We start from the raw sequence: 12,089 nt of genomic DNA, 5'->3' as shown, positions 1-12,089 counted from the left end.
GACATGTAATCAACCTAAATGCCTATCAATGATAGACTGTATAATGAAAATATCATACATATACACCATGGGATACTATGCAGCCACAAAAAGGAATGAAATCATGTCTTTTGCAGGGATGTGGATGGAGTTGGAGTCCATTATTCTTAGCAAATTAATGCAGGATCAGAAAACCAAATACCACACATTTTCACTTGTAATTTGGAGCTAAATGATAAGGACACATAGAGGGAAACAACACACTGTGGGGCCTATCATAAAGGTGGAGGGTAGGAGGAGGGAGAGGAACAGGAAAAATAACTAATGGGGACTAGGCTTAATACCTGGATGATGAAATAATCTGTACAACAAACTCCCATGACAAAAGTTCACCTATGGAATAAACCTGTACATGTACCCTTGAGCTTAAGGTAAAAGTTTAAAAAAAAACAAACGTCGTGTTAAGTCCATCTTGGTTGGTGGTTGGGAAAGGGGTCTTTTCTCTACCTGTCTGTACACATAATATTTTGTCCAAGGGGATTGCAGAAGTCTAGCTTCCTTAGAAGTCATGATGTTTATAGGTGTGAAACTCCAGAGACCATGTCCCTAAAAATTGCATTCTACTGTCTTTTGAATCATCCATTTACTCCTTCCTTGTTTAGTCAGTGTACAAATATTGAGTGCCTACCATCATGGTACCAGATGCTCAATTAATTACCATTCCTAAACTCCCCAAATACTTCATGTACTCCTTATTGTATCACATATAATAGTTGCTTTTGTTAAAATTGATTACAGAAATGTTATAGCTCCACAATATCATGTCTTCAAGTCTTTAAGATGTCTTATCTATTTTTATGTGTGCTATAGCAACTGTTTGCCCCTAGCTAATTGAAAAATACTTGTCAAACTTAAATGCAAGTTAGTGACATATTTGATAGTGATAGTCACCAGTCATTGGTGGTATAGACAACCTGATTCTTTTGCTCTGAAGAGCAGAGCTGGTGAAGGACACAGGATTTTCTCCACCATGTATCTGACTCTTTGAACAAATTGGGTTTTGGTCATGGTATTTATGCACTCAAGAGAAACATTAATTCAAATTATGTTTGGGGTAATTTATGCTCACTTACACAATACTGGGCAGAATCCTTACTTGATCAAACTTTTTCTTCATACTGATCTCAAGGTAAATTATAGTAAATTAGAACTGCAGTGTTATGAACTGAAGTGTGTTCCTTCAAAAGTCATATGTTAAAGCCAAAGCCCTTGCCCCCAGTGCGATGGTACTTGGAGATAGAAACTTTGAAGAGGAACTAAAGTTAAATGTAGTCATAAAGGTGTGGCCCTAACTAACCTAAGCTTGAGCGTCTTTATAAGAAAAGGAACAGACACCAGAGATCTGTCTTCCTTTATGCTATTACAGAGGAAAGGTCATGTGAGAACATAGTTCCCAATAAGGCCAGAAGCAAGCCCTCAGTGGAAACCAAATTTGACAGCACCTCCACCATGAACTCTAGCCTCCAGAACTGTAAGAAAATAAATGTCTGTTGTTTATACCACCCATCCTGTGTTTTTGTTATAGCAGCCTGAGCAGATTAATGCATGCAAAATAGCATTTAGAGAGCAGGGAGGCACCATGCACTTCTTTTGTTTGTTTTGAGATGGAGTCTCGCTCTGTCACCCGGCTGGAGTGCAGTGGTGTGATCTCAGCTCACTGCAAGCTCTGCCTCCTGGGTTCATGCCATTCTCCTGCCTTAGCCTCCAGAGTAGCTGGGACTACAGGCGCCCGCCACGACGCCTGGCTAATTTTTTGTATTTTTAGTAGAGACGGGGTTCCACCGTGTTAGCCAGGATGGTCCTGATCTCTTGACCTCATGATCCACCTGCCTTGGCCTCCCAAAGTGCTGGGATTACAGGCCTGAGCCACTGTACCCGGCTGGCACAGTGCACTTTTTTTAACAGTGAGCCTTATTCTTAAAGTCAACATTGATTTGTTAATTGCTTATTCATTGCTATTGTTTTCTGATTCTAAATATGTTCTTTGTAGAAAATCTGGAAAAGACAGGAATAAAAAGTAAAAAAAGTAGGCTAGGCTAGCTTATCTCATAATAAACATTCTAAATTCTTATTAAAATCTCCAAGGCACCAAAAAAAATTAACAGTTTTGAAAGTTTACCAACCCAATCGCAGAATCTAAGAGAAAGTTTAATCAAACATCTATCCTATTTAACATAATTTAATCTGCAATTGTTGGCCCATCTACTCTAGTGGTTCCAGCTGAAAAGAAAGGGAGCAATTATTTGTTAGGGTGGGTGCTCTTATCCTCCTTTCCTGTTTCTGGGAGTGTTATACTGTCGACACCCCTTATTCACTCCTCCGTGTAGGAAACACATGCTCTCTTCCTCCTTCAGGCTTAGGTCATACAGACAGTACCACCAGGTGAAGGCCTGAGCTTGTCTTACTCCACATGAGAAGGTAGGTCCATCTAGTTCAGGGTACAATAACAGTAATTCCACTTGGCTGCAGATCTTAATCCAAGTTCTCCACCAATTTTATTATTAATGAAGTGAATTTTAATCTCAATATGCCTGGATTCTATGCCAATCATCCACTGATTCAGAAATCAGGCAGAAAAAATTGTTTTATAACAGGCCCCTTAAAATAGCTAGGAAGACTTTTTGTCACCTTTTCCTAGATTTCAAAGGTACAATTTGTTTTGTAATAGAAAACTGAGTTATTGTCACTTTTTCTTGGCTTCTTATCGTGTTCTCCAATTGGTGCCTCCAAATTCAGAAAATGCAAAATGAGAAACAACTAATTTAGAGATTGGGATAGGGATTTGCATGTGGCCAGCAGTGGTATATTCTATGATAAGAAGAGAGGTAGGGTAGAAGAAGATTACACATTATCTAAGAAGACCTTCTAAGTGAAAATTCTTTAGTTTCTGTTCACTGGGCTATGAGATGAGAAGATGACCTGCTTTTGATCCACAAAGGGAAAGTGATTTTCAGCCAATCAGGGATGGGATGGAACCCAAGACAAGATATACGGTGTGTCATTTGACAAATGCTGGTTCTGGGTAGACACCAACTTTCAAAAATGAGTAAAATGCAATTTTCAGATAAATGGGCAATTGTAATAAAATGTGAAATGTGCAATAATTGGAACAACTTGAGGGTCATGAAAAATGTACTGCAGACAAAAGTAAAAGACTGGGTACTTTAATGCTTGTGGATGACTCACTTCTGAAAATTATTTATAAAGGGAACTATTTTTATGTTATTACTTTTAGAGCTCAGTCAAGCAGATTTCTACAAGAAGGCATTCTCTGAAAGAATGCCAAACATAAGAGATAAAAAGACAATACAATGACATTGAAAAGATGATTGATATAGTATGGATATTTATCCGCGCCTAAATCTTATGTTAAATTGTAATCCCCATTGCTGGAGGTGGGGGACCTGGTGGGAGGTGTTTAGATCATGGGGGTGACCCCTCATGAATGACCTGTGCCATCCCCTTGATAATAAGTGAGCTCCTGCTCTGAGTTCACACAAGATCTGGACATTTAAAAGTGTGTGGCACCTCCCCCCTCTCTCTCTTGCTCCTGCTTTTGCCATGTGAGGTGCCTGCTCCCCCTTTGCCTTCCGCCATGATTATCAGCCTCCCGAGGCCTCTCCGGAAGCAGATGTCTCTATGCTTCCTGTACAGCCTGCAGAACCGTTTGCCAATTAAACCTCTTTTCTCATGAATTACCCAGCATCAGACATTTCTTTATAGCAATGCAAATGGACTAATAACAATGATAGCTAGGATATGAAAGTGTTTTATTTGTATATGGAGAATAACAATAAGACAGAGATAAAATTCTAAGTTTAGAAAATCAAAATCTGACCTAAAAGTTGAGGGGTTTTGCTTTGTTTGTTTTGGGATAGTATAAGAATACTTAGAAAAGAATAAAATTGAATGATATATTTGTTTTTCCAAGATCCTGAGGTTGAAATGGACCTAATGTATTGCTTTAAAACACTCATTAAAAATAAAACAAAGAAAAAATAACAAATAAGAGGAAATACATCTGAGCATATTCTGAGAGAGATGTGAAGTGGAATTTAAAGCAGAAAAAAAAATTTACAACTATTAAGAAAACTATTAGGCCAGGCACAGTGGCTTACGCCTGTAATCCCAGCACTTTGGGAGGCTGAGTTTGAGATCAGCGTGGCCAATATAGTGAAACCCTGTCTCTACTAAAAATACAAAAATTAGCCAGGCATGGTGGCATGCATCTGTAGTCCCAGCTACTGGGTAGGCTGAGGCAGGAGAATCGCTTGAACCCGGGAGGTGGAGGTTGTGGTGAGCTGAGATCTCGCCACTGCACTTTAGCCTGGGCAACAGAGTGAGACTCCGTCTCAAAAAAAAAAAAACAAAAAAACTGTTAATAAATAGCTACGTCTAGAAATAATAGAGTTATTATCAGACTTCTGTGTATCACTAAATGTTCAAAGATAAAGGAAGAATACTTCAAAATCAGAAGAAAAATATAAAGTAGTCAAAGAATGTTATACCAGCCAAGTTGTCATTTATATCTGAAAATAAGTTAAAAGTAAATAATATGCAAATACTAACATATATATGTTAAATTACCTCAAAAAATCACTTAATGATATGTTTCAATTGGTGGAGAGACAAATACAAACTAGAAAAATTATAATAGAAAACTTGGGGTTTTCAAAAACTTTTAGGTCTTCTCTTTCTTCGTTTGTACCCCAAATTCTATAATAATAAAGGCCATATGTTTTTCAGAGTACTCTGTCCATGGGGAAGAAACTTGGCCCTGTTTTACTTTTGTCTTTTGGTAGTATTTACAACTGTCCTTCTTAATAGGCAAGCTTTACTCTTGATGTGTTTCATATCACTTAAAACCATTATTGATATTGCTTGTTTCCTCTATTTAACTATGACCAAATGTTTGACACACACTGCCAGAAAAATTGTCAGACAAATTATGTTTTATTTTTGCTTTTCTCTCTCACCAAATAAAGCAGGTATCATTGAGCTACATATGGCCATTTTTATAATCAAGGGAATGAAAATATTATTTTCTGCAACTCTAAAACACCTTTGAATTAATTAAAGTCATTTTTAAAAATCAGGTAAATAAAGCAGACAGGAAAAAATTCTCCAGTATCACTCACTTGTTCACTGCATGTTCTGAGTGCCTGCAAATGCCAGGTATTATTCTAGACTTTAAGACTATATCTGTGAGCAAAATATATATGATACCTGTATGAGGAACTTTATAGTCTAGTGGGTGTGGGTGATACAGATAAATACATTGGCAATAGTAATTATTGAAGGTAATCACAAGTGTTTTTAGATAACGTATCTCCTATAACTAATCTTGTGTTGACATTTTATGTTGTTGTTAAAATAACGGTATACGGAGCCTGATTTCAACCATGAAAATATAATGCAATGAAAAGCTGAAAGAAACACTCTAAAATATTAGTGGTGGTCATTTCTAGTTGGCAAAATTACGAGCTTTTTGTTTCCTTTATTTTCTCTTTTGTATGTCTTGTTCAAAATGTTTAAAGTGAGAACAAGGAAATCAAATAAGTATATATACAAACATTTGTCTATCTCATAGTATGAAGATAAAAAAAGCTAAGCAGCAGAAAGTTCAGGGCTATCATTTTTCTTCACCTTTTTATTTTGAAATCTTTTCCAAGTTCCTATAAAATAAGAGATAATATCTTATATACTATATCTTAAAAAAGAAAATGAGATAAAAATACAAATATTTAATTTGCATAATTTTATATTTTTCAATTGCACATACTTCTGGATGTTCATTTTTTATACTTCTCTTACATGAGGAGTTTTCCATTTTTATTACAATCACTAAAATGTCACTTGGAGTGTTTTTTGAGAATGTCTCTTTGTGGGTATGCTATTATTTAATTTGTCATTTCCCTTTTATTAGACATACGGCTGATAATAGTGTCAAGTAGGAATACCATGAGCAGTGTGTGCCTAAATCTTTATCCGGATCTCAGAATATTCTCTTTCAATAGAGTCTCAGACCCAGGAAAACTGAATTCAAAGACACAAACTCTGAGCACTTTTGAGATACAGCCAAGTAACCCATCTACGAGTGTTTTCCATCTTTAAACAATTTGGGATTGTGTGCAGGCTCTGCTCCAGAGTATCTGCATTATCTTGGAAAATAACCCCTGTAAGCCTCAGTTTCTTCACCTATAAAGTAAGGACTAATACTACCTCATAGTTTAGAGTGCAGATTAAAGGAGAAGGTGCATTCACTGGATTTAACACAGTACTCAGCAAAAAGCAGATGATCAGCAACTGTTCTCTCTTCGCCTTTCCTGGAAGATAACTACCTTTGCTGCGATCTCACTTTTCTTTTTTTTTTTTTTTATTATACTTTAAGTTTTAGGGTACATGTGCACATTGTGCAGGTTAGTTACATATGTATCCATGTGCCATGCTGGTGCACTGCACCCACTAACTCATCATCTAGCATTAGGCATATCTCCCAATGCTATCTCACTTTTCTACCCTAAATCCTTTCTGCAGTTCCCTTTTCATCCAGCCATCAGCAATGCCCCTGGAGCTCTGCTTTTTGCAGCTCTGCCTTCCTTTTTACATTTCTTATTCCCAGCTACATTGCCTGTGCCCCATCTATATTAGAAGGAGCTTATCTTATTTCTCCGCTCTATAAATAACAGACTGCTGATAAGAATAATAATGGAAAGTCAGATTACAGCAGAGTAGAATCAGGGGGAAATAAAGGTAACATTGAGTGAAGTTCAAGCGGGAAGAAAGGAGACATAGTGGATAAATGATTCTATACCCAGAGGTGATGAATGCCATCAAGCAATAAATAAGCAAGAAAAAAAAAAAAAGGTCAGCATGAATACAGAGGAGTGAAAAGAAATCAAGGAATAGCGAGAAAGCCAAACAGGATACAAAAAGACAGGTCTTGAGCTAAGGGAGTGGAAAAAATGGCTAACGGCATGGATTTCAGGATAAAAGGCAGAGTGCTCAGGGGTGAGAGAAGATCCAGTCCATCATGAAAGCATTTCAGGCACAAAAGGAAGACAAGGTCAATGAAGAGCCAGGGACGCCAGCAGAGAGCGGCGTTGATAAGGTATTGATGTTCGAGTCCTGAAAAAAACAGATAGGATTTTAATCACCTGGAGATGAGCACAAAGGACAAGAGCAAATGTTGAAAGTTGGTATTTAAAAGCAACCACAAACTTGTGTGAAGCTGCAGACGACTGTGTATAGCACCCAGTCGGATGCGCCGAGTTGCAAATTTCAGAAAATAAATAAAATTTTAAAAGTGAGATATGTCCAGCCCTTGAGTGGCCCGTGGCCACTAGTTGCCCTGAGAATGGTAATTCTTTTATGGTTAACTTCTTCTTCTCTTCCTAAGGGTGGAGTCCTAAAACAAGTTTCTGACCTGTCCCCCTACCTCTGACAGTGGCTGTCTGATGGATGTTTTTGAAGAACAGCTTGGAGAGTGCCACCCACTTACTGCAACCCCTTCTGTGGTTTGCTGCTGCCTGCGGAGTAGAGCCCAAATTCCTGGCTCTGGTACCAAGACCTCCACCATGCAGCACAAACTGAACATGCCATTTGGATTCTCCATATTCCCTGTAAGATGTCTCAGGCTCTGGAGTCTATAATTCTCTCCCTTGTGTAGGCAGATACCACTGCCCTCTGTCACTTGAATACATTGAGAAGCAGGGCCCGCAGACTGGGCCAAGGGCTTCACACGCCCGCCGTTATGTGCTGAGAAGAGACGGCTCATCCCGGCTTACTTTGTGCGAATGCTTCTTGTCCCAAACACATCCGCACATTATCACCTATAATCCTCGCGGCAGCTCCATGAGGGAGAAATTGCTTTCCTCTTTTTACAGATAAGGTAGGAGTCACTATCCTTTGTTTATCACAGAGGAGTTAAGTGATGTGCCCAAAGCATCGCTTTGGGCAGTAAGTGTCCGAGCCAGTCTCTGCAGTTGTCTTGCAAAGTCTATGCTTTAATGACTGACTGTTGTGTTTCTGCTTCCCAACCAAACTTTTCTTGAAGTGTTTTGTGCTGGACCAAACTGTTTGTTTTTGCTTGATGTTCAAACTGGCATTCTGACCATTTGTTATGATCTTCTTCTCCGTGACTCTTTTAAAGTTGATATTATCATCCATTTTGGAATAGTCTATTAACTTGGTAATAGTTTTCTGTCTTAGGCTTTGACATCAGACAGAGCCTAATTTCAATCTCAATTGTGCCAATGACTTAAGTCATTAAAACTGTTTGTGCCTCAGTTTCCAGAAAAAATAGAGTAAGAGGCCAGGCATGGTGGCTCAAGTCTGTAATCCTAGCACCTTGGGAGGCCGAGGCAGGTGGATCACCAGAGGTCAGGCGTTCAAGACCAGCCTGGCCAACATGGCTAAACCCCATTTCTAATAAAAATACAAAAAAAAAAAAATTAGCCAAGTGTGGTGGTGAGTGGCTATAATCCTAGCTACTCAGGAGGCTGAGGCAGAAGAATCACCAGGACCCGGGGGGCGGAGGTTGCAGTGAGCCAAGATTGTGCCACTGCACTCCAGCCTGGGCAACAGAGCAAGACTCCATCTCAAAAAAAAAAAAAAAAAAAAAAAAATAGAGTGAAAAGAGAATGAAGATCTTTTTCCTGTCTACCTCCCAGGGTTGTTAGAAAAATCAGATTAGACAATGAATGAGAAGGTGCTTTCTAACATAGAACATGCTCTGTAAATGTACAGAATAATTAGGACATCATCTTGCCATCATCATTTTTGTGTCTCTTAATCCAAGCACAGACCAAATCTGTCCATAATCCTTGATTGGACCTTTCAGGCACTTAACTATCACTAAAGTACCATAAGTTCCTGTAATAATCTTAGGATATTGAAAAACACTTCCAAAATGCTTCATTCCTAGATTGAATTAAAAATTTCAATAATTTTCTCACCTGATCCAAAAGGCAAATCATTATGCCAGGAGTCATATGTGACTTTATATTTTTCTTCACCCTTAAGTGTTGGTACTTCTATAAATTTGTGAAAAAGAAGAACCAATAAAGATGAAACAATACCACATGAAGTGATTTATTTCCAGATCCAATAGAGTCGTCCTGAAATACAGAAAGAATACATTTTCACTGATTTATTGCTTTGCCAATTAAAAAGCAATTTAGTCAGATTTCATTATAGTTTCTCCACTGTGAAGAAGCCAGAGGAAAAGCTTTAATTTTTAAAGGCTGACCTTGTTGCATCTCATCTAAGAAAACTAGAAAATATCAGACTTTTCTCTTAAAAGTTGGAGTCTCCAAGCCTCAATTTCTTTTTTCTTGCTAAAACTCAAGGTGGGAAATAGGGCAACTTTACGTCTTCGTAACTATTTTATATAGGTTCAGAAGATGACTAGGTAATCATGAAGAGATTGTGAAAAATAAATCAATAATCAAATTCTGATAACAATGACACTTGTTTTCACTTCTGTATAGTTTATATAGCATGATTTGGATTTATTTTTACATTAATCACTATGACATACATGACTTTCATCACCTTTTTTAAGATGAAAAATCCAGCCTCAGACAGGAGAAATTGGCATGCTGAAGAATCCAGAATTAAATATGTCAAAATATGAGCAAATAGTCTGAAGATTAGAGAGCGAAGTTGTGCAATGCAGTCCTTCTACATATAGTACCTCACATCCTCATGACAACAATCTCTTTAGATAAAACCAATAATTTCCTTTTGAAATTATGGCATTGATGCTATAAGAATCAGGCAGCTTCCCTTTGTCTCCCAACCTAGGAGAGCCAGAGCCAGAGCCCGAGCCAGAGCCCGAGCCCGAGGGTGAATCCAGGGTTTTCTGCCCCTAGAGGCTTCGATAGTCCATGGGGCCACAGCATTTTCTTATTGAAAATCAGAAAAAAGTCAAAAGAATTCATGAGTAGAATTTGTCTATATGAGAGAATGCCACTGTGGTCACAGCAGGGCATTGTAGGCAGTCCCATAGTGCCTCAGCCTTAATAAGGACCCTGATGAAGGCGTCAGGCGAAGTGGCAACTGGATTCCCCAGGCTGCCAATTCTGAATGTCTTTGACCATAATGCTCTTGGACACAGAAGGTTCATGAGTCAACCCAATAGACCTCAGATGAGCCCATGAAGTTCACCTGTGCAAAGTCCAGTGTGCATGTTCTCTGCAAAATGGAAGAGCCTTTCCACATGGAACAAGGTAGGAGCATAGCTTCAGAGGAGCCGAGCTGAAAAGGGCATTCAGAGAAGTCCCCACTGGCAAAGAGGACACTTTTGTTAGCTGAATTTCTAAGATTTATCTAAAAAGTGAACCTAATTTCCCAGGAAGAGCACCTGAAATGAGTATAAGGTATAGCTGTGGAGTCAGAAGCCTGCCCTCTGGCTGGCTGTGGAAATTTTAGGGCTTGGGTCTGTCCCATGTGCCAATCAACCTTGAAGGGTCCTGGCTAGAGAGGAATGAAGGGCTCTGTGCTCAGCCCCAGCACAAGGCTGCCAAGCCTCCCTTTTTTATTTTTTTCTGAGACAGGATCTCACTCTGTCGCCCAGGCTGGAGTACAGCCTCCACTTCCTGGGATCAAGGGATCCTCCCACCTCAGCCTACTGAGTAGCTGGGACCACAGGCATGCACCACCACACTCGGTTAATTTTTGTATATTTTTGCAGTCAAGGTTTTGCCATGCTGCCCAGGCTGCTCTCAAACTCTTGACCTCAAATGATCCACCTGCCTCAGCCTCCCAAAGTGCTGGGATTACAGGCATGAGACACTGCGCCTGGCCAGAAGCCTCCTTTTTATGATTCACTTATTTGCACTTGTTCTCTGCTTGCCCATTGGGTTCTGAAAAGGTCCCTTGCAGTCTAAGAAACAGCAACATATACAGACAGGTAAATGTATCCTATACTCTGTTCTTTCTCCCTTCTGGTCTGAGAGTGGGAGGATAGAGCCTTTTAGTAACTGGCCTATTCCCTGACTATCAAAATTGGACAAACGTATAGAGAGCATGTTTCTGCCTGCCTCTCAGTCCCCTCGTCCCACTCTTTGTGTCTGTTTTGGCCTCTTGTTTTCTCTCTCTGTCTCAATGTGTAGTGAAGAACTTGGGCACTGGGGTTAGTCTTGCCCAAGATAAAATTATTTATTTTGTTCATATCAATAATACTTTCATTTTTTTTCTACAAAAGTTGCAATACTGTTTTAGATTTATAATTCGTATTGCTATTGAAAATGGTATATTTTCTCTAGTTGGTGTTCTTGGTATATAGTGAAATTATTTCCAGAAACATTTCCAGACTCTCCAGTTATATTGAGTAGATCATCTGTAGATACTTTACATTTTCTATATTGACAATCAAATAATCTATTGAGACTGAGATAAATTCCTTGATATCCTAGACACTGGTTTGGAGATCTTTTAAAATTACTTAGCCTTTTTGAGACTTTGATTCTTTATTTTCAAAATGGGGCCAATATGCCTCTCACAGGGGAATCATGAAGATTACTTGAGCTAATGGATCTTGGGTGGTTGGCTCAGTGTGGATCCTGGCTTGGGCCAGAACTCAGGCATGTGGCCCCAGCTTAGATTTCTAAGTGAGGACAAAGAATGTAGTCTAGCTCTGTGCCCAGAAAGAAAAAATAAAGACATGTCTCAGTCTCTGCTACATTGCTAATGCTCCTGCACTATAGAGATTGTCTTTTTTCAATATTTTAATATTTAAGAGATTCAAGATTTTAATTTGGATCTAATGATTCCATCTTCTCTGTTGGATTTTTTTTTCTTTTAATAAGTGACATTTCTGCTGAGGGGGGATTAGTAAGAAATTAGTGGAAGCTAAATTAAACTGAAAAGGATTTTGAAAATAAACCATTTAAAACCTTAATTTCTATGTTTCCTAAAGGAAGATTATATACACACATGCACACATTTGTGTATATATAGGGTTCAGACTAACATAAAAAGGATTAATAGGAGAATTTTAGTAGATTTTTGAGCCCAAGTCCAAACTTAAATTCATGGCTATATCT

Source organism: Homo sapiens, chromosome 4 (assembly GCF_000001405.40).
Source record: "Homo sapiens chromosome 4, GRCh38.p14 Primary Assembly".
NCBI lineage: Eukaryota > Metazoa > Chordata > Mammalia > Primates > Hominidae > Homo > Homo sapiens.
The sequence above is the reverse complement of the archived record's forward strand: the minus strand, read 5'-3'. Positions refer to the sequence as shown.